General features: G+C 57.6%; 1 protein-coding gene across 8 annotated transcripts in view, besides 11 other annotated features; it reads left to right on the top strand.

The window, feature by feature from the left end:
• Nucleotides 480-1327: an enhancer, noted in NCBI's record as "H3K4me1 hESC enhancer chr16:411723-412570 (GRCh37/hg19 assembly coordinates)". NCBI's record gives its function as "activates a minimal SCP1, AML or CMV promoter by ChIP-STARR-seq in naive H9 embryonic stem cells {active_cell/tissue: H9 hESC(naive)}" and the evidence as "EXISTENCE:reporter gene assay evidence [ECO:0000049][PMID:30033119]".
• Nucleotides 1328-2176: an enhancer, noted in NCBI's record as "H3K4me1 hESC enhancer chr16:410874-411722 (GRCh37/hg19 assembly coordinates)". NCBI's record gives its function as "activates a minimal SCP1, AML or CMV promoter by ChIP-STARR-seq in naive H9 embryonic stem cells {active_cell/tissue: H9 hESC(naive)}" and the evidence as "EXISTENCE:reporter gene assay evidence [ECO:0000049][PMID:30033119]".
• Nucleotides 9659-9918: a silencer, noted in NCBI's record as "silent region_6912". NCBI's record gives its function as "represses an Ori minimal core promoter by ATAC-STARR-seq in GM12878 lymphoblastoid cells {active_cell/tissue: GM12878}" and the evidence as "EXISTENCE:reporter gene assay evidence [ECO:0000049][PMID:35858748]".
• Nucleotides 9959-10438: a silencer, noted in NCBI's record as "silent region_6911". NCBI's record gives its function as "represses an Ori minimal core promoter by ATAC-STARR-seq in GM12878 lymphoblastoid cells {active_cell/tissue: GM12878}" and the evidence as "EXISTENCE:reporter gene assay evidence [ECO:0000049][PMID:35858748]".
• Nucleotides 10327-25136, top strand: part of AXIN1 (axin 1) — a 65284-nt gene continuing 50474 nt past the window's right edge. For all 8 annotated transcript variants that reach the window (NR_134879.2, XR_001751996.2, NM_181050.3 and 5 more), the window contains exons 1-2: nucleotides 10327-10681; nucleotides 15944-16902. Coding sequence is in view for 6 of the 8 variants with exons in the window: in XM_011522683.3 (XP_011520985.1) it covers nucleotides 10616-10681; nucleotides 15944-16902 (1025 nt within the window). In the remaining 2 variants the exon portion in view is untranslated. The remainder of the gene's footprint in view (nucleotides 10682-15943; nucleotides 16903-25136) is intronic.
• Nucleotides 10539-10618: a silencer, noted in NCBI's record as "silent region_6910". NCBI's record gives its function as "represses an Ori minimal core promoter by ATAC-STARR-seq in GM12878 lymphoblastoid cells {active_cell/tissue: GM12878}" and the evidence as "EXISTENCE:reporter gene assay evidence [ECO:0000049][PMID:35858748]".
• Nucleotides 10899-10948: a silencer, noted in NCBI's record as "silent region_6909". NCBI's record gives its function as "represses an Ori minimal core promoter by ATAC-STARR-seq in GM12878 lymphoblastoid cells {active_cell/tissue: GM12878}" and the evidence as "EXISTENCE:reporter gene assay evidence [ECO:0000049][PMID:35858748]".
• Nucleotides 10969-11038: a silencer, noted in NCBI's record as "silent region_6908". NCBI's record gives its function as "represses an Ori minimal core promoter by ATAC-STARR-seq in GM12878 lymphoblastoid cells {active_cell/tissue: GM12878}" and the evidence as "EXISTENCE:reporter gene assay evidence [ECO:0000049][PMID:35858748]".
• Nucleotides 11049-11108: a silencer, noted in NCBI's record as "silent region_6907". NCBI's record gives its function as "represses an Ori minimal core promoter by ATAC-STARR-seq in GM12878 lymphoblastoid cells {active_cell/tissue: GM12878}" and the evidence as "EXISTENCE:reporter gene assay evidence [ECO:0000049][PMID:35858748]".
• Nucleotides 13542-13821: an enhancer, noted in NCBI's record as "active region_10203". NCBI's record gives its function as "activates an Ori minimal core promoter by ATAC-STARR-seq in GM12878 lymphoblastoid cells {active_cell/tissue: GM12878}" and the evidence as "EXISTENCE:reporter gene assay evidence [ECO:0000049][PMID:35858748]".
• Nucleotides 21034-21585: an enhancer, noted in NCBI's record as "H3K4me1 hESC enhancer chr16:391465-392016 (GRCh37/hg19 assembly coordinates)". NCBI's record gives its function as "activates a minimal SCP1, AML or CMV promoter by ChIP-STARR-seq in naive H9 embryonic stem cells {active_cell/tissue: H9 hESC(naive)}" and the evidence as "EXISTENCE:reporter gene assay evidence [ECO:0000049][PMID:30033119]".
• Nucleotides 22868-23592: an enhancer, noted in NCBI's record as "H3K4me1 hESC enhancer chr16:389458-390182 (GRCh37/hg19 assembly coordinates)". NCBI's record gives its function as "activates a minimal SCP1, AML or CMV promoter by ChIP-STARR-seq in primed H9 embryonic stem cells {active_cell/tissue: H9 hESC(primed)}" and the evidence as "EXISTENCE:reporter gene assay evidence [ECO:0000049][PMID:30033119]".

Raw genomic sequence — 25136 nt, 5'->3', positions numbered from 1 at the left:
CTGGGACAGGCGGCTCACAACCAGGCCAGTGCGAAGAAGCTTGGATCCGGACCCAGAGTCCTGGGGGAGCAGCCGCGGCCCGAGACCCCCGGCGCCCAGAGTCCTGGGGGAGCAGCCGCGGCCCGAGACCCCCGGCGCCCAGAGTCCTGGGGGAGCAGCCGCGGCCCGAGACCCCCGGCGCCCAGAGTCCTGGGGGAGCAGCCGCGGCCCGAGACCCCCGGCGCCCAGGCCCATGCCAAGCCCGGTTCCCTGGGACTGGCCCCGAAGTCGCTCTCTTGAAGGTGGATCCCCATGGACCATGCTCCAGGCTCCCCTGGATCCCGGGTCCCTCTGATGGCCTTGGTAGTGGCCTCCCTGGGCTGCAGCAGCCCAAGGCTCTCGCTTGCTCCTTGCAGTCCTGCAGCTGTTCATCACCAGATTCTGCTCATCGGGTGCTGGGCCTGGGCCAGGAAGTGGGACTCAGCTTCCCGGGCTTAGGGGAAGCCTTCGAAGGGGTCTTGGCCAGGCAGTGCTGCTGTCAGAGCGCGTGGACAAGCCAACACTGTTTCTGGCTGTCACGGGGCTGGGGGCAGGGGGTGGTTCCGGGGATGCTCAGTGCCCTGCAGTGCCCAGGATGTCCACGGGTGACGGTTGAGAAGCCTCGTCTCCAGACATACGGGAAAGCTTTGCCAGGGGCCAATGCTGGTGCGCCCTGGAGGGAAGAGGCGTTCTTGGGACGCAAGAGGGCACTGCAGCCCAGGGGAGAGCGGGTGCAGCCGCAGGTGTGTGACTGATGGCGAGACGGTCTCCTCAGTGTGGCCAAAGACCCAGAGTCCTGCCCAGTGGGAACCCAAGGTCCAGGGAGCAAGGCCTCGGGAGGGGCCTCAGGGGGCTTGTGAGACGGGACTGTGTGAGCACGTGCACGTATTCCACAGGCCGCAGCTAACGAGAGGGTGGCGGAGTGGACTGTGGGCGGAGAGAAAGCTGGCAGCCTTTGCCGTCTGAGGTGGGCGAGAGCTTGGCTCTGCCCAGTGGGGCTGGGAAGTTCTCCCTGCTCCCGCTTCCACTGCTCCCACCCTTTATTTTCCCACCAGACTGGGCCTGGCCTTCAGCCCCTGAGGCAAGCCTGACCTGAAGTCCTCCTCTCAGCAGGGGCTGCAAGGCCAGTGCTTCTGCCTCTGCTGGGGGTAAGGCAGGGCACAGAGTGGCCCCGGACAGGCCAGGAGAGGGGCAAGGACCCCACACACTGGACATGAATGAAACACACGGAAACGCTTAACAGCTGTTGTGGGGACAGCTACCATGCAGCCATGCCCACCTCGTTCCTCCAAGGGGACCCTGGCATGGGCCCACGGGCAGTGCCGCCTGCTCCCTCAGCAGTCAGGAGTGGCTCGGGGGTGGCGGTGTCTAAAGGGGCTGGTTGCCATGGCTACCATAGGGTTCTGAGGCCCGTCATCTGGTCCCTGCCTCAGCCAATCGGCGGCAGGAGCCCGAGCTGCAGCCCAGAGTCACGCTTCTGCCTCCCAGCCACACAGTGGCCAAGAGCAGGGACCTGCTTCCCAGAGTGGCTGAAAGTGCTCGGACGGACGGCCAAGCCCATCATGGCGGACAGCGGGACGGTGGGGCGTGAGCAGGCACACGGAGCCAGGCAGGTGAGGTAAGCCGGGCAGGCGGCCGGGCGGACAGGTGGACGCGCCTCCTCTGCCCATTGTTCTCGCGGCTGCGGCCCTGCCCTCGGCCCACCCCACCCTCGAGTGCAAGCCCACACGCAGCGCCCGCACCCTCACCCTCAGACCCTCTCCGGGTGTCCCGAGGAAGGGTCAGGGGAAGAGACAAAGGGAGCAGGGTGAGGCAGGATGAATCCTGACGGACCTCGGACCCCAAAACCGCCCCGGTGGGTCTTCCACGTCAGGTTTCACATGGAGGCGGCATCAAAGACCCCCGACTGATCCAGGCCGGCGTCCCGGCCGCCACTCCAAGGTTAGGAGACAAGCCATGTCAAGTCGGTGCCGTTTAAGCAGCATTTTTTCGAGGAGAAAAAAAAAAAAGAAACAGAAGCGATATAAAGAAAAAAAATGTCCACCTATGACACGGGAAGCGGCCAGCCCGATGGATCAGAAGCGCCAAATCCCATTACTCGGGACTTCAGGGACAGGCCCTGCAAGGGCAGCTGCGATTAAGAGCTTGTCAATGGACTCTCCTTTAGAGATCAAAGCGGGGCGTGCTTGTGTGTGTGTGCGTGTGCACGTGTGTGCGCGTGCACGCGTGTACGTGCAGGAGCGGACACTGTGGGGTGACAGCACAGAGGTCGTGCACCGCAGCACCACGGGGCCCATACGTCGCCGACGCGGCCACCTCCACACTGCTTGCGTCCTTGCTGCCGTGTGCGACGTGTGTGGACGCGGCTGGGGGCCTGGGCCGGGTACCTGGTCCCAACACCTGCACCCTTTCAAAGGCCTCCACCTCCTGCTAGAGGCCGTGCCTTCCCCAGGTTCTGCCCAGAGGAGCCCGCAGGGGCCGAGCTGGGTGTGAGGACAGCCGTGGCTGCGTCTCCTCCCCCCGACCACGTCCTGCTGCCCACAGAGGCCTTGAGCTCTCAGTTGGCCTGGCAGGCGCGCCCTGGGGGTTCAAAGCTCCCGTTGACACGATTGTTAGGTTATTAGGTAAACTCTGAGACGTAAATCTTTTAATCCACTGTGGCTAATCCGGTTCACTTTTGTTTGCCACGACAGACGCCGCGGCGACAAAGGGGCCTGGGGCCCAGCACACACAGTCACACGCTCAGAACTTGGCCGCGGCCTCAGGGTTCCTAGGCAGTGGAGAGAGACATCTTGGGACAGCCAAGCAGAGGGAGGCGGCGGAGGGCACAGGTGGGCGGGGGCGCAGGTGGGCCGGGGCAAAGGCAGCTGCCCGCTGGGGGCCGCACTTCCTCACCTCCCATTTAATGTCCCCTTGCCAGCTCGAGGGGGAACCGCTGGGCACTGGGGTGTGCAGGTATCGGGGCCGCTGGGGATAGTGGGCAGAAGGACAGATGAGCACCAACGGGGGGGCGGCAGCGCCCGGAGAGGCGTGTGGGATGGAGGCCGTCAGGGCAGGGAAGGGCGTTCAGGTGAGGGAACAGCAGGGACAAGGACTGTGGTCGGTGTGGCAGGGGCAGGAGTCCCCCCAACAAGGACAGGAAGCGGCCTGAGGCTGCCCAGGGAGGTGGGACGTCACCTGCTACTTCCCGAAGTCAGCGCGAGGCCCCTCGGGGCATGGCCCCTGCACTTGGATGCCACCTCTTTTTGGGAAAACAGCACTGAGGTTGGGGGAGGCCAGCAGGCCCTGCCCTGTGCTCACAATGTGCCTGGGACACCAGACCTGGTCCATGGCCAGCCGTGGGCTCCATCCCGCCACCCGGCCTGTCAGAGAGGGTCACACACGGACCTCTGGGGCTGTGAGGCCAGGTCAGGACGATCACTTTGCCCAGGGGGACACTGGCACAAGGAGGTGCCTGCTTTGCCTAGGGCTACAGGCTGGCCCAAGACAAGGATGGGCACTCAGGTCTCCTGGGAGGCAGGTGCCAGGCCAGGCCCAACAGTCCCCTGATGTCAGCAGCTCCCGAGTTGGGAAGTGGTGGCCGCCCTCCCCTCCTACTTCCCCAGCCCCTGCGGCCGGACCCTCCAGGCAGGCCTACTTGACCACATCCTGGTATCCACCTGGCCCCAGTCCCAGCCCCTGGACACCCTGGGGTCAGAACTCTTCAGAAAGGCAGTGCAGGAGGACTCCCCTCAGGACACTGGGAGGTGTGGACAGTACCCTGGGATGGAGGGGACCGCCTCTGGGCCGCCTGGCTGGCCAGGCCCCCGCCCTGTTGCCAGTGCTTTCCTGTTGGCCTTGGCGTCCTGACCCTTGACCCCTGGAGGCCAGCGGGGATGTGGGGACTGTCAGGTCTGCTGGACGGGGCTGGGCGCAGGCGACGTGGGTGACGGCAGGTCTGGGGCCTGCCCCAGGGGACAAGTATGGACCCGGAGCCAGCGGGGACCAAGCACTGTGGCCACAGCAGCCGTTTCATTTCTTTTTCTTTTTTTTTTTTTTTTTTGAGATGGAGTCTCACTCTGTTGCCCAGGCTGGAGTGCCTTGGCACAATCTTGGCTCACTGCAACCTCTGTCTCCTGGGTTCAAGTGATTCTCCTGCCCCAACCTCCCCAGTAGCCGAGATTACAGGGGCCTGCCACCATACCTGGCTAATTTTTTGCATTTTTAGTAGAGATGGGGTTTCACCACGTTGGCCAGGCTGGTCTCGAGCTCCTGACCTGAGGTGATACGCCCACCTTGGCCTCCCAAAGTGCTAAAATTACAGGCGTGAACCACTGTGCCTGGCCTAATTTTTGTATTTTTAGTAGAGACGGGGTTTCACCATGTTGGCCAGGCTGGTCTCGAACTCTTGACCTCAGGTGATCCACCCGCCTCAGCCTCCCAAAGTGCTGGGATTACAGGTGTGAGCCACCGAGCCTGGCCACACACAGCACCCGTTTCTTTGGGCCCCTGCCCCGCAGCGGCTGAGTGGTTCACCCTCCACCTCTCTGTGGGTGGGTCCTCCTGACCACAGGTGCCCAGCCAATGGTGGGTCCCGGGGGCAGAGGCCGTCAGGTCATCCATGGCCATGGTGACAGTCACACTGACCTGATATTGGAGCCAGGGCATATGAGGTAGGGCCCTGCTCCCCTTCCCCCAGGCCTCTGCCTTTTGTGGGGACCAGGATCACTCCTGGGGCATCTGCCCTGCGGAGGCAGCTTTGGCTACAGAGCTATGTGGACCACTCCAAATAGGAAGCGTGTTGCAACATAGTTGGATGACACACCTGCCCGACAGGTGTGAGGGGGAGAGGAGGAAGGACCTATCTAGGGGCACATCAGTGCTAAGGGGGCTGCCAGATGTGGAGGCCGGGGAGGCCCCAGCCCAAAGTGACACCAACAGCTGGGATGGCCCAGGAAGCCCCTGGCAGGGTGTGTCTCTCAGGAAGGTGGCAGAACCTCCATGCCAGGCCCCAGGCCACCGTGGGGCGATGTGGCTGCCATCAGCCGTGACCATCACCCTGCTGGACACACACTGCCCAGTGGTCAGTTCCACCCCTCAGGGCCTCAGCCGTGATGCCCGTCTCCTTCAGTGGGTTAACTTACACAGACCGTTCCACGGGACCATAACTGTTACATCCCTGTAGACATTCCTGAACATGCAAAGAAGAAAATGGAACTTCATGCTTCTGCTTCCACTAATAACACGTGGACTGTTTTGAGTCTTCTTGCCCTTTTTTTTTTTTTGAGATAGAGTCTCGCTCTGTCGCCCAGGCTGGAGTGCTGTGGCGCGATCTCAGCTCACTGCAACGTCCGCCTCCCGGGTTCAAGCGATTCTCCTGCCTCAGTGTCCCAAGTAGCTGGGATTACGGGCATGCGCCACCACGCCTGGCTAATTTTGTATTTTTAGTAGAGATGGGGTTTCTCCATGTTGGTCAGGCTGGTCTCGAACTCCCAGCCTCAGGCGATCTGCCTGCCTTGACCTCCCAAAGTGCTGGGATTACAGGCGTGAGCCACCACGCCTGGCCCAGTGTCAGGTCTTTCTCTCACCCAGACTGGAGTGGAGTGGCACCATCTCAGCTCACTGCAGCCTTGACCACTCGGGCTCAAGCCATCCTCTTGTCTCCGTGTACCTGGGACCACAGGTGCACGCCACCATGCCTGGCTAATTAAAAACAATGCTTCTATAGGGAAAGGGTCTTGCATTGTTGCCCAGGCTAATCTTAAACCGCTGACTTCAAGTGATCCTCCCGCCTCAGCCTCCCAAAGTGCTGGGATTACAGGTGTGAGCCACTGCGCCCCGCCCACATTTTCTATTTTCAGGAAAAGTGGTGCCCTGTGTGCGTGGCCTGGCGGCATGTCTCTGGGGTGTTGTAGCTCCTTGTTCTCTGTCGGGCTTGGGATGGGGGCACAGGCAGCATCTGGCCTCTCCTGTGGGCTCAGAACTGATGGAAAAAGAAGGCTCAGGGATGAGAGCTGGGGCTCGCCTTACAGCCTGGAAGGCGGTGGAGGGTGGTGGGGGCTCTGCCTGCGATGGAAAGTGCAGTCCTCCCTCGCCTGAACGGGATGGTCCAAGGCCTCCCTCCCCCTCGAGGGGCCTCCCTCCCCTCCAGCGGCCTCCCCTGCCTGCCCACTCCCACCTCTCACACCTATGGACTGAGCGGAGGGGGCAGAGAAGGGGCAGACTGGAAGAGGCTGAACCCAAGGCTTCCCTCAGCCTCCAGAACCCTGGATCAGAACCGTCCGTCCTCTTCCCCCGCTCCCCTTACACTGATGCAGGGTCGGTGGCTGCACAGTGTCCATCTCTGCAGCTGGCTGTCTCCATCACACATCGTACAGCGGCAAACACTCCCCAGCTAATGTCCTTGGGGTGTCTTCCAGGGTTTCCTTTGGGTCATTTTTTATAAGTGGTCTTCCTCAGTTAAATGGATAAACACACTTAAGGCATCAAAACTCACTTTATTATTTTCTTAATTTTTATTTCTTGGAGACACGGTCTTACTCTGTTGCCCAGGCTGACGTGTAGTGGCTCAATCACAGCTCACTAAAGCCTCCAACCGCTGGGTTCAAGTGATCCACCTGCCTCGCGCTCCCGAGTAGCTGAGACCATAGGTGCGCAACACCACGCCCAGCTAGTTTTTAAAAATTGTTTAGTAGAGACAAGGTCTCACTATGTTGCCCAGACTGGTCTTGAACTCCTAAGCTTAAGTGATCCTCTGGCCTTGGCCTCCCGAACTGCTAGGACTACGGGTGTGAGCCACCGTGCCTGGCCTTTTCTTTATTTTTATTTTTTTGAGACAGAGTCTCGCTCTGTCACCCAGGCTGGAGTGCAATGGGGCGATCTCAGCTCACTGCAACCTCTGCCTCCCAGGTTCAAGCAATTATCCTGCCTCAGCCTCCTGAGTAGCTGGGACTACAGGTGTGCGCCACCACGCCTGGCTAATTTTTCTATTTTTAGTAGAGATGGGGTTTCACCATGTTGGTCAGGCTGGTCTCGAACTCCTTACTTCGTGATCCACCTGCATCGGCCTCCCAAAGTGCTGGGATTACAGGCGTGAGCCACCGCTCCGGGCCAGCCACTTTATTTTCAAGGTATTCCTTTTAGGCTGGGCATGGTGGCTTGGGCCCGTAATCCCAGCACTTCGGGAGGCCAACGCAGGTGGATCCCTTGAGCTCAGGAGTTAGAGACCGGCCTGGGCAACATGATGAAACCCTGTCTCTAGCAAAAATACAAACAATTAGTGGGGTGTGGTGGCACACGCCTGTAATCCCAGTTACTCGGGAGGCTGAGGTGGGAAGATCACTTGAGCATGGTAGGTGGAGGCTGCAGTGAGCCAAAATCACGCCACTGGGCTCCAGCCTGGGCAACAGAATGAAACTCCGTCTCCAAAAACCAACAAACAAAAAAACATACCTTTTATGTCTACATTGAAGAAAATAATTCCATGTCTGCTCTTAAGTGTCTCATTTGGTGCCTAGAAACAAAACCTGATTAAATGTCATCTACGGTCAATCAAATAAAAGCCTTCGTGGCAAACTCACGCTCGAAGCAAAGGGCGTTTGCCTCTTCAAGGAGCTCTGTGAGGAAGGGAGGTGGCTGAACCTCACCCTGCACACCACAGGCCCCCGCGCGCCTCCCTGCCCCTCCTCAGGGCCTTCCTCTACCTCTCTTCTGCCTGGCCTGCCTCTGGTCTCCTCCTACCCCCACTAGGCTCAGAGAATCTCCCCTCCACACCCACACCACAACCTACTTTAGAAGGGCTGCTGCATTTCCTCCAGGCTTTCTGACCCCCTTCCTGTCCCTGCAGGGCAGGGGCCCCGAGGAGCTGGAGGCCCAAGGGCCTTGTTCTGGTCCCAGGGCCTGGGGACACCTGCCACCGAGGGCCAAGAGGAGGATGGACGTGGACACAGCCCCGAGAGCCTGGCCCGGACACAGCAGCAGCTCTGCAGAACCAAGGCAAGCATTGGGGACCTTGTTGGGAGTCGGGGGGCAGCCCAGGGGCCAGTGTCTGAGGTCCTGCTGTCTGTCTGGCCACCCAGGACTCCCTCATCCCTGGAAACTGTGCTTTACCATGGAGGCCACCCACTCTGTCTCCTCTAAGGTTCTGAGGCTGAATGGGCTAGGGGGCTTGCGGGGAGGCCCCAGTGTCCAGCACTGTGGGACCTGGCAGGGTGCCTGCGGCCAGGACCCAGCGGGGCCAGGTGTTGGTCTAACAGTGCAGCTTCGTTCATATCCCCAGCCCCTGCCCACCTGCTCTGAGCACAGTGATGGCCCTGGGAGGTGGGCCTGGGCCCTTGGCAGGCTGGGGACAGCCTAGTGGCCCTTGTCCCATGCTACCCCCTTTCCCACACAGCGATGCTGGCATCAGACACCATGCTGAGTGCTGGCAGGGGCGAGGGCTGGGAGGCTTCCACACATGGTTCCCCATGCAGTCCCACCTGTGGGCATCTGGTTGGGGGTAGGCTGGAAGCTCGGGGAGCCTGGAGCTGGGACTTCTGTGCTTGCCTGGGAGCTCTGAAGGGTGAGGCTGGGCATCCAGGGTGACACAGCCCAGGGAAAGACATGGGGGTGACGTGAGAGGTGCCTGGAGGGAGCTGGCAGGTATGGACATGATGGACACGGAAGCACGGAGGCGGGCAAGTGGCCAGACGCATCTAGGGGAAGGTGTGGGGGAGGCGCCCTTAGGAAGGGCCCTGAAGGGCTGTGGGCAGCAGGGAGCCCTGGGAGGCCTAAAGCAGAGGGCAGATAGATGAGGGCTGTTGTCTCAGGTGTGGGGCGGACGAGGTGGGGAGCCCTCACCCAACAGGAGGCGAGCTGGTCCTGTGTGGCCTGAACTGCAGCTGTCTCCTCTGTGAAACGGGGGTATAGCTGACCCCAGGGGGCTGCCTGGAGCATCCCGGGAGGTGCCAGGCCCAATAGTGCTCTGGGAAGGACAGGGCCCTGGGCTGTTGTGGGAGGCGGCAGATCCTGGTACTCACATCCTCCTCCTTGGGGAGGGCCTGATGGTTGGCTGAGGCCTGGGTGGAGAGCAGAGGGTTGGTTCTGACAGGGTTGGGCTGGCCAGAGCTGGTGCTGGGGCTGCTGCTGGGGGCCCGTGCCTCTCTGCCGTGGGGTGCCTGGGGCTGTGACCTCATGCTCTGTGGCCTGCAGGGCAAGTGACACGGATCTGGGCAGCCAGGGTGGCAGGATCGGACTGGACCCCTTGGCAGGGCCGCTGTGGAGACAGCCCAGGGGAAGGGGTGCAGGGGTCTGGACACTCCAATGGCCTTGCTCTCGGGCTGGCCTGGGCAGCGGAGGGAAGGAGAACCCTTCTCTGATACTAGATGGTGCCTGGGAGAAATCAAGGCAGAGGGTCCTAGCCGGTGGGCTCTTTGGAGGTTGTGGCTCCTGTCCGGGTGAGAGCCACCATATATTGGGGCCTAACGTGTTCCCTGGCGCTGTGAGTCCAGGCTGCCTTGGGACTCAGGAGGGTGGAGCCCACCCCACCTTCCAAGGGCCCTGGCCATCCCTGCCTGCCGACCACCCCACTCCTGGGAGCCTGCTTCCCTCACGGCGGCGGGCAGGCCGTGGCGGTCCCCACGAGGGCCTCCTCTCCAGGGCCGGCTGGGCAGGGAGCCCCGAGGCCTGCAGCCCCCTGACTGCCCTCCGATGTACTGGCGGCAGAAAAGGGCTGCGCCCCACGTGCGCCCTTCGGGGCGCGCAGTCCGCCCAGTGCTCCCCACGGCCGCGGCCATTCCAAGGACCTGCAACGCCGCCTCTCCCACTCCGCTCTCTGGGAAGCCAAAGCCTCCCGGGCTCCGCTTCCGCACCGCCCCTCGGGAAGACGGCGCGACCGCGCCCCCGGCACGCCCCGCCCCCGGCAGGCACTGACCACGCCCTCTCCCGGCCATGCAGAGACCCCGGCCCATGTTTCTCAACTCGTCTTCTCGCTTCCGGCCCCGCCCCGCGCCGGAGGCCCCGCCCCACGCTCTTTACCTCTTCTGCTCGAGGCGGGCCCCGCCTTACTCCCTGGTCCCCGCCCCACGCCCGAGGCCCCGCCCCGAGCTCTTCACCTCGTCTTCTCGCTTCCGGCCCCGCCCACGCCCCGGCCCCGCCCCGCGCTCCTCACCTGTCCCCTCGCTGTCGGCCCCGCCCCACGCTCCTCACTTTATCCTCGCGCTTTCAGCCCCGCCCCGCGCCTGAAGCCCCGCCCCACACCCTTTACCTCGTCCCCGCGCTGCCGGCCCCGCCCCGTGTTGAGGCCCCGCCCCGCGCTCTCACCTCGTCCCCGCGCCCCGGCCCCGCCCCCGCACTTCCGGACGCCGCCGGCGGGGGCGCTCGGGCCTGGGCTTCGGCGCTCTGGCTCGGGCTCTGGCTCGGGAGGCGATCGTGGCCGCTGCCGCCGCCAGAGCCGGCCGGAGTCGGCCCGGAGCCGCGTCCACGCGGAGCGGGCGGGTGGGAGCTGGCGGCTGGGCCCCTGCGGCGCCCCCGCGGCCTGCCCCGCGTCCGCCTCCGGGCCGCCGAGCCGCAGCCGCCGAGATGGGGGCCGCCCCGGGCCGCGCCCCCGCCGGGTCCCGCCCGCCGCGCTGCCGCTGAGCGCATGGGCCCGGACCGCGCCGCGCCGCTCCGGGAGCCGGGCCCGGGGTCCCGCCACCACCGCGCGCGGGTGAGTAGGGCCGGGCTCCGGGGCGGGCTAGGCCGCGGTAGGCCGGGCGGGCGGGACCCGGAAGCGGCGGGGGGCGCGGGTGGCTGACGCGCGTGGGACCGAGGGGGTGGGCGCGCGGGGAGCTGGGGCCGGGGTGTCCCTGGGCAGCGGGACTGGCGGCGCGGTGGCCGCTTGGAGGTCCGAGGCCTCGGGCGCGTCTCGGGGCACGGAGCAGCTGCAGGGGCCGCGCATCGCGTGCGGGGGCCCGGGAGAGCCGGGCCTGGAGCCCTCCCCGCCGCCCAGAAGTCGGCGGGAGTCCGGCTGTCCCGGAGGAGGACACTCCCGCCCGCCCTCGCCGAGGCCGCGTGCCGGGTCCGGGTCGGGGTTCGGCCTGAGTAGCCGCGTGCTCCGGCGTCCGTACCCTCCAGGTTGATGCCTTGCTGCCCAAACACTGGTCTTTCTCTTGGGTGTGGTTCTTAGATTCTACCCCCGCCCCGCACTTTGGAATTTAGCCCCCGTGAAACCAGAGCTGCACTGCCCGAGCAGTGAAACTTTCAGCTTGGCATTGAAGAAAGTAGAGAAAAACATGTCAGTTCTCTGGGGATTTTTCTCAGCCCATCTATAAGATATATATATATATATTTTTTGTAGAGATGGGGTGTCACTATATTGCCCAGCAGGTGTTGAATTCTTGGCCTCAAGCGATCCACCTGCCTCAGCCTTCCAAGGTGTTGGGACTACAGGGGTGACCACCGTCCTCTAAGATAATTTTTTTTTTTTGAGACGGAGTCTCGCACTGTAGCCCAGGCTGGAGTGCAGTGGCGCTATCTTGGCTCACTGCAACCTCCGCCTCCCGGGTTCAAGCAGTTTTCCTGCCTCAGCCGCCTGAGTAGCTGGGATAACAGGCATGCGCCACCACATCCGGCTAATTTTTGTATTTTTAGTAGAGACAGGGTTTCACCATGTTGACCAGGCTGGCCTGGAACTCCTGACCTCAGGTGATCTGCCCACTTTGGCCTACCAAAGTGTTGGGATTACAGGCGTGAGCCACCGCGCCTGGCCCCTTCTAAGATAATTTATAAAGGGTTCTTATGTGCATGTCAGCCCCTTGTTTTTGCTCACACTTCTGTTCTCTGCTTCTTCAGGAAGAATCTCGAGCTTACTTGGATCCACAGGCCCTATTTTGGAGAAAACACAGTCTAAACCGGCTACCCGAGATACTCAGCAATAGCTCGGTTTCAGTTTTTTTTTTTTTTTGAGACAGAGTTTTGCTCTTGTTGCCCAGGCTGGAGTCCAATGGCGTGATCTCCGCTCACCGCATCCTCCGCCTCCCAGGTTCAAGCGATTCTCCTGCCTCAGCCTTCCCAAGTAGCTGGGATTATAGGCATGCGCCACCAAGCCTGACTAATTTTGTATTTTTAGTAGAGATGGGGTTTCTGTATGTGGGTCAGGATGGTCTTGAACTCCCGACCTCAGGTGATCCGCCCACCTCGGCCTCCCAAAGTGCTGGGATTACAGGCGTGAGCCACCTCACCTGGCTTTGGTTTCAGTTTTAAGATCTCCATTCAGGGACAAGGATGGGAAAGCATGAAAAACAGACTGTTTTTGTTTGATTTTCAGCTGGTGTTGACTTGTCTTGGGTTTCTAGTTTCAGAAAAGCTAAGCAGACTTTTTCGGATTACATTGGTCATTGAGAATTTCAGTGATGGGGGAATAAATTACATGTGAAATAGTAGCCCTGAACCTTCAAGAGTTAAATCAATGGACAGCTGGGAAGATGTCAGAGTCGTGTTGTGTTACTTGCCTCCTCCATGTAAATCAAAATGTCAAAAGTTACGTTTGGGTAAAATAAATACCTACACACGTAGGTAGCATTGAGTTTGCTGCCATGATGCCTGGAGCATATGCCTAAGCGGTGACGAAAGGGAATTTTAAATACAGTATCATACTTGTAGGCATCCCGCCCGTTTTATGGACTCACTTTATTGATGGTAGCTACAGGCTGTGGGCCAGATTCAGTGCTTGCAGGCATTTGATACTGAACTGAGTAAACGTGACTGCTTTATGTGTGGTGTGTACTTGTGTGTACACTAAATGCTTGGTGTGCTTCCCTGTGGGAACCCAGAGATTTCAGGAATTGGGACATGTTTCAACAACATCAGTAGCTTGTAGAGGGGTTCATGTGCTTCCAGGGACACCAAAAAGTCTTCTGTCAGTTGACAGCCAAAAATACACATGATTGTAAGAAAATTTTCTTCTGGGCTCTGAAAATTTGGTTCACACATGAATTAAAACATTAGTTTTGGGGCCAGGCAAAGTGGCCTGTAATCCCAACACTTTGGGAGGCCGAGGCGGGTGGATTGCTTTGAGCTCAGGAGTTTGAGACCAGCCTGGCCAACGTGGTGAAACCCAAAATACAGTAATTAGCCGGGCGTTGATGACTCGTGCCTGTAGTCCCCGCCACTTGAGAGGCTGAGGCTGGAGAATTGCTTGAGCCTGGGAAGCTGAGGCTGCAGTGAGCTGAGATCGCCCCACTGCAGTCCAGCCTAGGCGACAGAGCGAGACCCTGTCTCAAAATAACAAAAAACAAAACAACAAAACCCATTAGTTTTGGAAGAATTTGCTGCTGTTTTCTGTGGTACAGTAGTTCAGCCCCTGTAGAGAGCCAGTGTTTGGCGTCTGTGACAAATGTCTTTTCTTTTTTACATCAGTGAATGACTTACTGGTGCCCGTTAGTTGCAGGACCTTGTGCTGGGTGCTGTGGGTCCCGCTACTACCAATAATTAACACAGAAGACTTAAGTCCCTTATGAGAGCATGATGGTGACTTGTGGTTAGCCTCCCTTCTGAGCACTGTCTGATTAATCACTTTCCACTCTCCGGTGACTTGGTTCTTCAAGCTAGTGAATGGTAGTACATCTATAGTGGTAAGGCTCAGGTGGTCAGGGTGCAGGCCTTCTTTCCTGTGATGGCGTCCCAGACAGATGACCGTGAGCTAGTGTGGAGGTGCCCACGCCCAGGGTGCTCCCTCCATGCTGATGTGGCTCACGGAGTGACTGCCGCTGAAGTGGTCTGTGAGCAGCAGGATGTCACAGCTCACTGGGCCTTGACCTTTAGAAGCTGTGTGTTCCTGCTGAGGCCAAGATGACATACTACCCAGCAGCGTTCACAAAAAGTCCTTAGCTGCTGAAATGTCATTGGGGGCACATAGTTGCAAACCATCCTCCATCTATGGGTGCTTCTTATTTATTTACTAATTTTATTTTATTTTATTTTATTTTATTTTTTTGAGACAGAGTCTCACTCTGTCGCCCAAGCTGGAGTGCAGTGGCCGGCGCGGTGTCGGCTCACTGCAAGCTCTGCCTCCCGGGTTCATGCCATTCTCCCACGTCAGTCTCCCGAGTAGCTGGGACTGCAGGTGCCCACCACCATGCCTGGCTAATTTTTTGTATTTTTAGTAGAGATGGGGTTTCACCGTGTTAGCCAGGATGGTCTCGATCTCTTGACCTCGTGATCCGCCCGCCTTGGCTTCCCAAAGTGCTGGGATTACAGGTGTGAGCCACTGTGCCCGGCCTATTTTTTTTTTAGAGACAGGATCTTGCTCTGTTGCCCAGGCTGGAGTGCAGTGGGGTGCGATTATAGCTCACTGCAGCCTTGAACTCCTGGGTCAAGTGATCCTCTTGCCTCAGTCTTCCAAGTAGCTGAGACTACAGGCATACGCTACCATACCCGGCTAATTAAGAACTGTTTTTTGGTAGAGATTGGGTCTCACTATGTTGCCCAGGTTAGTCTTGAACTCTTGGGCTCAAGGGATCCTCCAGCCTCAGCCTCCTGAGTAGCTGGGACTACAGGTGCGTGACACCACGCCTGGCTCTGTGGATCCTTCGTGCTTCCAGCCGTGAGCAGCTGTTGGCTGGTAAAGTGTGTGCAATGTGAGGAAGTTGGTGTGGGGGACAGATTCCACATAGACAAGGGACAGCAGTGTGGAGTGGTGGCTGGGGGATAGATCCCCCTTCAGTTGGTCCTGGGTTTTAGGGTTTTATTTGTTTGCTGTGACTTGTTCAGCACTCTAGGCTTTTGAACCCAACATGCTTCTCTAAAGCCCTCTCTCCAGCCCCTTTTAGCCAGGACCACTTACATCATGGCAGGCTGTTGTTTCAGTCACCTGCATGGCCGGGTTGACAGGCATAGCCAGAGCTCCTGGGCTCCTGTAGGACGTGGCAGGAAGGACCATAGACCATGGCAGGGGTTCTGTTGGAGCCCTTATCTACTCTCTTTTGCACACCCCTTGCAGGCTTGTAGCAGCAGCAGCAGTAGTAGCAGCAAATTCTATAGTTCCCTGATGTCTAAGAGGGTGGGTGGTTTGGTTTTCAGCTTAAGGAGTGAAGTCACATGAACTATAGCTTCCTTAGCTAAAAATTGTATTTGCATTTCCTTTTATTCTGTACCTTCTCTGTTCCTTGAAGTACCCATTTACTATTTGCTATCTGAATCCTCATCAGAGAGGCTTTTCAGAGTCAAGTGCAGCATTCTGACAGAGCATTTTAAGATTGTCTCCAGTGACGGTGTCCGAGCGCCTCTGTGGGCCTGGGTGGTGTCCTTGATCCCTCGGTCGATGGGGCTGAAGGTGACCCATGATTATCTCTCTTTGAGGCGTGTGTTGAGAGTCGGAGGAACACCCTGCAGTGTGTTCTCATGTGTCGGAAGGTGTACCACGCGTGACGTGATGCAGCAGGTAGAAAACAGTGGCCGTGGGCCTGGAGGACGTGGGGTTCAGAAGACGCCCACCACCTTCGGGGCTGTAGCGCACCTTCCTTTCTCTCTGAGTGTTGCTGGGGCTGGTGGAGCGATTGTCTCCATCTTACTTGTGAGGGTCCAGCCCTCACTCAGGTTTGTACACATAGTCAGGACTAGAGGCAGCTTTCCTTCCTCCGGTCTTCCTGCCTTCCCTGTCCCTCAGCTCTGCAGCTGAGGTGGGAGGTGCTCAAGCTGCCAGCCTCCGTGATGTTTGTGCAGTGAGACTTGTGGGGAGTGGCATTCCCATGTCCTGGGCATCCCTTCTTAGCATGAGAGGCATTCCTGTAGTTGTAAAAGTTTCCAGAAATTGCTTTAAAGTAGAACTATGCTTGTGGCCAAAATATATCTTGATTGAACATTTAAACTGAGTTTCTTGCTTTGAGTTTGAGCGGGAGGGCGTCATCGTGAGTCTTGTCTTGAGAAAACCTCTGGTCGTGTTTCATGGACCCACCTTTCCTAATCCTTGTCCTCTTAATGGTTTCAACAGGACAGATTGATTCACTTTGGAGCTGTAAGTACTGATGTATTAGGGTGCAGCGCTCATTGTTCCTTGACGCAGAGTCCCAAAATGAATATCCAAGAGCAGGGTTTCCCCTTGGACCTCGGAGCAAGTTTCACCGAAGATGCTCCCCGACCCCCAGTGCCTGGTGAGGAGGGAGAACTGGTGTCCACAGACCCGAGGCCCGCCAGCTACAGTTTCTGCTCCGGGAAAGGTGTTGGCATTAAAGGTGAGACTTCGACGGCCACTCCGAGGCGCTCGGATCTGGACCTGGGGTATGAGCCTGAGGGCAGTGCCTCCCCCACCCCACCATACTTGAAGTGGGCTGAGTCACTGCATTCCCTGCTGGATGACCAAGATGGGATAAGCCTGTTCAGGACTTTCCTGAAGCAGGAGGGCTGTGCCGACTTGCTGGACTTCTGGTTTGCCTGCACTGGCTTCAGGAAGCTGGAGCCCTGTGACTCGAACGAGGAGAAGAGGCTGAAGCTGGCGAGAGCCATCTACCGAAAGTACATTCTTGATAACAATGGCATCGTGTCCCGGCAGACCAAGCCAGCCACCAAGAGCTTCATAAAGGGCTGCATCATGAAGCAGCTGATCGATCCTGCCATGTTTGACCAGGCCCAGACCGAAATCCAGGCCACTATGGAGGAAAACACCTATCCCTCCTTCCTTAAGTCTGATATTTATTTGGAATATACGAGGACAGGCTCGGAGAGCCCCAAAGTCTGTAGTGACCAGAGCTCTGGGTCAGGGACAGGGAAGGGCATATCTGGATACCTGCCGACCTTAAATGAAGATGAGGAATGGAAGTGTGACCAGGACATGGATGAGGACGATGGCAGAGACGCTGCTCCCCCCGGAAGACTCCCTCAGAAGCTGCTCCTGGAGACAGCTGCCCCGAGGGTCTCCTCCAGTAGACGGTACAGCGAAGGCAGAGAGTTCAGGTGAGTCCGACGCCAGGCGTCCACTTTCTGTACTCACCTCCGAGAGCTGGAGAACAAGCCAGGGAAAGGTGCTGATGAGGCGGGCGTTAACCCACACCGGATGTCCTGCTGCCGCTGGGGTTGAATTTTGGTTCTGTTCTTATTTGTGATACTTTTGCATTTGTCATTACTTTTTTATATTTGTAATGTTGAGAACACTTTTACTGAGAACAGACTAAAATATATGACTTTATGAGTCATTAGGAACATCGGAATTCTTAGAAGTCACAATGACATGTAAACTTTACCCTTCAGCAGTAAAGTCTGTCACCTCTTAAATAGGAGCTGGATCTACCCAGTAGACATGGTCCTTTCCGCTTAATAAAGGGAGGAGTGGACGTTTCAGGGCATCGATAAGAATTGGAGAATTGGATTCTTGCTTTTTTTTTTTTTTGAGACGGAGTTTCACTTTTGTTGCTCAGGCTGGAGTGCAATGGTACAATCTCAGCTCACTGCAACCTTCGCCTCCCGGGTTTGAGCGATTCTCCTGCCTCAGCCTCCTGAGTAGCTGGGATTACAGGCATGTGCCACCACGCCCGGCTAATTTTGCATTATTAGTAGAGGTGGGGTTTCTCCATGTTGGCCAGGCTGGTCTCGAACTCCCGACCTCAGGTGATCTGCCTGCCTCGGCCTCCCAAAGTGTTGGGATTACAGGCGTGAGCCGCCGCATCCGGCCAGATTATTGCTTTTATAATGATCTTCTAAGCTTCTTCCTACAGGCTGAGAAATAGCAGGGGGGACGTTTTACGTGTGGGGAATGGTCAGAGTACTTTGAAAACTTCCTGTGGCTATAGTGGGCATTCCAGGATTGGGCCTTTTTTCCTGCCAACAAAATCTGTTGGTGCTGTTGTGTAGTCCACAGCAGCCTGGACCCTGAGGCGATCCTGGCAGGGCCTGTGGGGTGCGTGTGTTGCCTGGGAGGGAGCAGAGTGGTGCTCAGCCTTGGAACCTGTTTCTTCGTTCTTCCTTCCCTGTGATCCCTGCGTGGTTCCTGGAGGTTTATTTGGCTTTCGGGCTGGCATCTACTGTGCTTGTGAGCAGAGCGCATGCATTTCCCACTCTTTCCCTAGAGCTGGTGACCGGAGGCTCCGGCCTGTGTAACTTTGAAAGCCTGGAATTCATGTGACCCCTGCTGACCTAATCAAGACTCCGAAAGCACAGCCCCATGTGCTGGGACTCTCCTGAGGAGTTATTAAAAACTCGCATTAGTTCTTCAAGCTTACTGTGACACAGAAATTGGCTACTCGCTCATCAACACAGGATTAAACATGTCTAAGGTTAAACTTGTAGTCTAAGTGATACGATTTAAGATGGACTGTCGACTGGGCGCAGTGACTCACACCTGTAATCCCAGCACTTTGGGAGGCCGAGGCGGGCGAATCACCTGAGGTCGGGAGTTCGAGACCATCCTGGCCAACGTGGTGAATCCTCATTTCTACTAAAAATACAAAAATTAGATAGGCGAGTTGGCGCATGCCTGTAATCCCAGCTCCTCGGGAGGCTGAAGCAGGAGAATCGCTTGAACCTGGGAGGCAGAGGTTGCAGTGAGCCTTGGTTGTGCCATTGCACTCCAGCCTGGGCGACAAGAGGACAAGAGTGAAACTCTGTCTCAGAAAAAAAACAAAAAAAAAACAAAAAAGGATTGTGTAGGTTAATTGGTTAATTTTTTTTTTTTTTTTGAGATGGAGTCTTGCTCTATCGCCCAGGCTGGAGTGCGGTGGCGCCATCTCGGCTCACTGCAAGCTCCGCCTCCCAGGTTCACGCCGTTCTCCTGCCCCAGCCTCCCAAGTAGCTGGGACTACAGGCGCCCGCCACCATGCCGGCCAATTTTTTGTATTTTTAGTAGAGACTGGGTTTCACCATGTTAGCCAGGATGGTCTCGATCTCCTGACCTCGTGATCGCCTGCCTCAGTCTCCCAAAGTGCGGGGATTACAGACGTGGGCCACCACGCCCGGCCTTTTTTCCCTTTTGTTCATTGTCTTTAGCCAAGTGGTATTTATTTAGCAAGCATTTTAGGACACAATATGCCGCAAAGTTATCCTGTTGAGTAAGCCTGGTATAAACTGAGAGTTTCTTTCTTTCTTTCTTTTTTTTTTTTTTGAAATGGAGTCTCGCTCTGTCACACAGGCTGGAGTGCAGTAGCACTATCTCGCTATCTCGGCTCACTGCAACTTCTGCCTCCTGGGTTTAAGTGATTCTCCTGCCTCCCGAGTAGCTGGGATTACAGGTGTGTGCTACCATGCCTGGCTAATTTTTGTATTTGTGGTAGAGACAGCGTTTCGCCACGTTGGCCAGGATGGTCTCGAGCTCCTGGACTCCAGTGATCTCAGCCTCCCAAAGTGCTGGGATTACGGGTGGGAGCCACTGCACCTGGCTGGTTATTTTTTTTGCTTGTTTTTTTGTTTGAGATGGAGTCTCGCTCTGTCGCCCAGGCTGGAGTGCAGTAGTGCAATCTCAGCTCACTGCAACCTCTGCCTCCTGGGTTCAAGTGAGTCTCCTGCCTCAGCCTCCCGAGTAGCTGGGATTACAAGTGTGAGCTACCATGCCCAGCTAATTTTCTGTATTTTTAGTAGAGATGGGGTTTTACCACGTTGGCCAGTCTGGTCTCGAACTCCTTTCCTCAAGAGATCTGCCCGCCTCAGCCTCCCAAAGTGCTGGGATTCCAGGTGTGAGCCACTGCGCCCGGCCCCGGCTGGTTATTTTTAAGATGGGACTGAAGTTGAGGGCTGGGCTGCAGGAGGAAAATGAGCTCCGTTCTGATTTCCACTGTTGGAACCCCAGTGCCTCCCTCCCAGCCACTCTTCAGTTCTTGGCTGCGAGCAGTAGCTTTGCTGTCTGTCCTTGGTTTGCTGTATTTGTAATAAGGAACCTTTGCTATGAAATTAGTGGGATACATTGGCTTCTCCTGTCTAATTTTGTGTAGCTCTGTCTACACAGTTTGGGTCCTAACTTGACTGCTCTGGGGCTGCTGGTGGCAGAGGACCCTGGGGCTTGGGAGTCGTGTCTGCGGTTGAATCCTCTCTGTGGGAGGTGGCCTGTGGTGCAGCCTTGTGGCTTGAAGATCTCTGATGTTGGAATGGTTGCTTGTCAGCACAGACAGGGCATGAAGTCCAGGCTGCGTTCCTCACATTTAGACCATTCTCTTTGTCCTGCCAGGTGTAGGTGAGGGTGCACTAGGTTGGAAGTCGTGGAAACCCACCCACCTGAGCCCAACCCTGAAGGGCACTGTTGAGGCAGAGCCTCAGGTGTGCCTTAGGGCCTGGCACCTTTGCTTTGTGCCATTCTGACTTTGCCTGCCTGGTGGGCGACTTCGTGGGCTTTGTGTTGGAGGTGGCTGCTGCAGTGACCTTGGGCTCTGGGCTCCCTTGTTTACAGATGCTTCCCGCAGCTCTGACGGATGGGCCCGCTGTTGCTCTGAGGAGGGCACGTGTGCCGCTGTGTCCCGTCTGTCTCAGCACAGTCACGGTGCGTGCGCTGGGGGCTGTGCAGCAGGGTCACTCCTGAAGGAAAGTGGGTTCTCCACCCAGACAGACGGCTGCTCCCCAGTGGGGAGCTGGGGGCAGTCCTCCAAAGGAAGGCTGCGGGTAATGCAAAGGGAAAAGGAGAGTGGGTACTGAACAGGCGGCTGGTGAGCATTGCTACCACAGCAGGGCCTGGAGCTTAGGCCTCACGTGTTAGGGGATGCATATCCTGTGGAGAGCCGGTTAGTCGTCCCGGTGTGTCCGGAATTGGTGGGTTCTTGGTCTCACTGACTTCAAGAATGAAGCCGCGGACCCTTGCCGTGAGTGTTACAGTTCCTAAAGGCGGCCTGTCCGGAGTTTGTTCCTTCTGACGTTCGGAGGTGTTCGGAGTTTCTTCCTTCTGGTGGGTTCGTGGTCTCACTGGCTTCAGGAGTGAAGCTGCAGATCTTCGCGGTGAGTGTTACAGCTCATAAAGGCAGTGTGGACCCAAAGAGTGAGCAGCAGCAAGACTTACTGGAAAGAGAGAAAGAACAAAGCTTCCACACTATGGAAGGGGACCCGAGCGAGTTACCACTGCTGGCTCCCGCAGCCAGCTTTTATTCTCTTATCTGGCCCCACCCACATCCTGCTGATTGGTAGAGTCCAGTGGTCTGTTTTGACAGGGCGCTGATTGGTGCGTTTACAATCCCTGAGCTAGACACAAAGCTTCTCCACATCCTCACCAGATTAGCTAGATACAGAGTGTCCACACAAAGGTTCTCCAAGTCCCCACCAGAGTAGCTAGATACAGAGTGTCGATTGGTGCATTCACAAACCCTGAGCTAGACACAGAGTGCTGATTGGTGTGTTTACAAACCTTGTGCTAGATACAGAGTGCCGATTGGTGTATTTACAGTCCCTGAGCTAGACATAAAGGTTCTCCACGTCCCCACCAGAATCAGGAGCCCAGCTGGCTTCACCCAGTGGATCCCGCACCGGGGTTGCAGGTGGAGCTGCCTGCCAGTCCCGTGCCGTGCGCCCGCACTCCTCAGCCCTTGGGTGGTCAATGGGACCGGGCGCTCGTCGGGGAGACTCGGTCCGCACAGGAGCCCACGGAGGGGGTGGGGGGCTTAGGCATGGCGGGCTGCAGCTCCCGAGCCCTGCCCTGCAGGAAGGCAGTTAAGACCCAGCGAGAAATTGAGCGCAGCTCCGGTGGGCCGGCACTGCCGGGGGACCCAGCACACCCTCCGCAGCCGCTGGCCCGGGTGCTAAGCCCCTCATTGCCCGCGGCCGGCAGGGCTGGCCGGCTGCTCTGAGTGCCGGGCCCACCAAGCCCACGCCCACCCGGGACTCCAGCTGGCCTGCAAGCGCATGCAGCCGCGGTTCCCGCTCGCGCCTCTCCCTCCACACCTCCCCGCAAGCTGAGGGAGCCGGCTCCGGCCTTGGCCAGCCCAGAAAGGGGCTCCCACAGTGCAGTGGTGGGCTGAAGGGCTCCTCAAGTGCCACCAAAGTGAGAGCCCAGGCAGAGGAGGCGCTGAGAGCGAGCGAGGGCTGTGAGGACTGCCAGCACGCTGTCACCTCTCACCGGGGTGGAATTTGCGTGGAGGAACGTGCCAGGAGGGCCAGCCCTCGGGTGCTGACCCCTCTGTCCTGGAGGCTACTTTGCCTGCATCTCTGCCACAGTCGCTCATCCCCTGCGGTGGGGCTGCTGCGGTCCAGCACGGCCACAGGCATCCAGTTCCCCTGTGGGACGCCTGAGTGCGGGTCCTTGTTGGTCCGTGTGTGAGCCGCGTGGTGGTTTCACATACTTGATTTGAGGAAAGTGAAGTGTTCTGCTTAGGTCTTTGTCTCAGCCTAGGAAAGAGCTCCATTCCTGGCCCTTTTCTGTGTTTGTCCCACTCACCCACTGTCATTTTGAGCTCCTGGGCCAAGGTTTCATGGGGTTCCTCCCTGGCTCCCCCGCTCTGCCTCTGTGGGAACACTTTCTGCACCCTCGGGTCTTTGTTCCCATTGTCAGTGGAACTTTGAACAGAGCTGGCTGGTTCACCTCGTCATTTCAGCGGTGTGGATCAGCAGGCAGGTTCTGCTGTTGACTGAGTGTTGGGCGGGAGGCCCAGGGCCTGCACTCCCTGGCTGGCGGGCTCAGGCTCTGCTTCCCTTCAGGGTGGCTTGGCCCACCAGGTGGCCTTCAGGGCTGGCCTTGCATGCCCCTGCCAGGTCCGCTTGGTCAAGCCCGCAGTCTCCTCGCCGCTGGCCCCTTCTGTTGACTGCCCTGACCTTCCTTGATGACTGGGGACAGGGTCTTCCTGGATATTTTCGTGTGTCTTCCCGGGCCAGTCCAGTGATGCACTTGTGGATAGGGCTGGTCAATGTGGCTGTGGCCAGAGAGTGGACAACAGACATGTCCACAGCAGGAGCAACATGGTGGCTTGTCTTGGGCTGCTGGTTCCTGGAGCTGCTCAGAGGACCGGTGGGTCCTTTCGAGGTGGGCAGCCAGCCCTTGCCGTTCAGGTTCCCGCAGGGGTGCGTGAGGAACCGTCGGACCTGCTCATTAGTTTATTGACTGTGTTTCTGGTAATGGCCTAAAAGGTTAAGAGAAGAAATGGTTAAAAAAAAAAAGAAGAAGAAGAAGAAGAAAAAGAAAGGGCCCAAAATGTGTACAGAGTTGTCTGTGGAGGAGTGGTTTTGGGTTTCCATGTCCGTTGGACCTCAGGCGGTGGTGCTGTTGAAGGTGCCCGGCTGCAGAGGGGCTGTGTTGCAAGGGTGAACTCTGCTTCCTGTGCAAAGGGTGTGGCCCAGGGTGGGGTCGCCCCCAGGCTTGTCTTGTTAAGGGGACCTCTGCTGTGGTGCAGAGGGGGCAGAGGTGCTTGTGAGCCATACTGCCCCTTGCGTGGGCTCCCCTTGCCTGGGTGTGGGGGGTTTCTAGTCTCCTTTGGGGTATTTGCTTCCCCTGTTTGAGCAGATCTGAAGAGAATTTTTTTTTTTTTTTAGACAGTCTTGCTCTGTCACACAGGTTGGAGTGCAGTGGCACCATCTCGGCTTACTGCAGCCTCCGCCTCCCAGGTTGAAGCAGTTCTCCTGCCCCAACCTCCCCAGTAGCTGGGATTATAGGCACCTGCCGCCATGCCTGGCTAATTTTTTTTTTTTTTTTTTTTTTGAGATGGAGTCTCGCTCTATCGCCAAGGCTGGAGTGCAGTGGCACAATCTTGGCTCACTGCAAGCTCCACCTCCTGGGTTCAAGCACTTCTCCTGCCTCAGCCTCCTCAGCAGCTGGGACTACAGGCGCGTGTCACCACGCCCGGCTAATTTTTTTTTTTTTTGTATTTTTAGTAGAGACGGGGTTTCACCTTGTTAGCCAGGATGGTCTCGATCTCCTGACCTTGTGATCCGCCTACCTCAGCCTCCCAAAGTGCTGGGATTACAGGTGTGAGCCACCACGCCCGGCCTTTTTTTTTTTTTTTTTTTTTTTTTGAGACCAGGCTGGCTGGTTTTGAACTCCTGACCTCAAGTGATCTGCCCGTCTCGGCCTCCCAAAGTGCAGGGGTTGCAGGTGTGAACCACCACACCCTGCCCAAAGGGAAATTTTTTTTGTTTGTGGATGTCCAAGGAAAACTTTAAAAATGATTCCTGGCCAGGCACGGTGGCTCATGCCTGTAATCCCAGACTCTGCTGGACTCTGCTGGTGCTCTGCTGGACTCTGTCCCCACAGCACCAGCTTGCATCCCACTTTTTTTTTTTTTCCCCAAGATGGAGTTTCGCTCTTGTCACCCAGGCTGGAGTGCAATGGCGCGATCTCAGCTCACTGCAACCTCTGCCTCTCAGGTTCAAGTGATTCTCTAGTCTCAGCCTCCCGAGTAGCTGGGATTACAGGTGCATGCCCCCACTCCTGGCTACTTTATGTATTTTTAGTAGAGACAAGGTTTCGCCATGTTGGCCAGGCTGGTCTCGAAATCTTGACCTTAAGTGGTCCGCCCACCTTGGCCTCCCAAAGTGCTGGAATTATAGGCGTGAGCCACTGTGCCCAGTCCATCTTGTATTTTTATGCACCTGTCAGTGGGCAAGGACTCCAAACATATTTTTTCTCTTCCTTAGCCACGTAAAGCTCCATAGTCTCAGACAGGTTTCAGCAGAGTCCACGAAAGTATCTGTAGTTGCCTGTCAGGCCAAAGGATTCTGGAACCGAGAGGCCCCTTTGCCTGGGCGGACCTCAGTCCTGAGCTGTGTGGGTGGGTTGTGAAAGGGAAGCACTTTGCAGACAGCCAGTGGCAGACGTGCCGATGAGACTGTGTGCCTGGCCCTGGTGCTGGTGCTGACCTGCAGCAGCTGTTTCTGGAGGGCTTGGGGTAAGTGTCCCTGCGGGCCCCTGTGGCCCTTCTTGGAACTGTGCCCTAGCCGTGACTGGCCGCCTGGCACCCCAGCCCATTCTCACATTTTGCGCCAGTGTCACAGATTTGAATTGACGCACACGCTCCGGTTCTGCTCATCCTTGTCAAACGCAGACGTCATTTGTAGCAGCGTACCCTGCAGTTATCGGAGGTGGGGGCCAGGCTGGGCTATGGTGGCTGTCAGGGAGAGAGGGCCGCCTGTTGGCTCTTTCTTGGGCCCCTCCGCTGCCTACTTGTGCGTGTGGAGGGAAGCAGCTTCACCTCAGTTTTTCCCCGTGTCACATCTGTGAGAATAACCACTCAGGGTTCTCTCAGAACCCATTAGCTCCAGAAGGTGTTCGGTCTCTCCACTCCCTGAGAGATGGAGAC

Source organism: Homo sapiens, chromosome 16 (genome assembly GCF_000001405.40).
Source record: "Homo sapiens chromosome 16, GRCh38.p14 Primary Assembly".
NCBI lineage: Eukaryota > Metazoa > Chordata > Mammalia > Primates > Hominidae > Homo > Homo sapiens.
The sequence above is the reverse complement of the archived record's forward strand: the minus strand, read 5'-3'. Positions and strand labels throughout refer to the sequence as shown.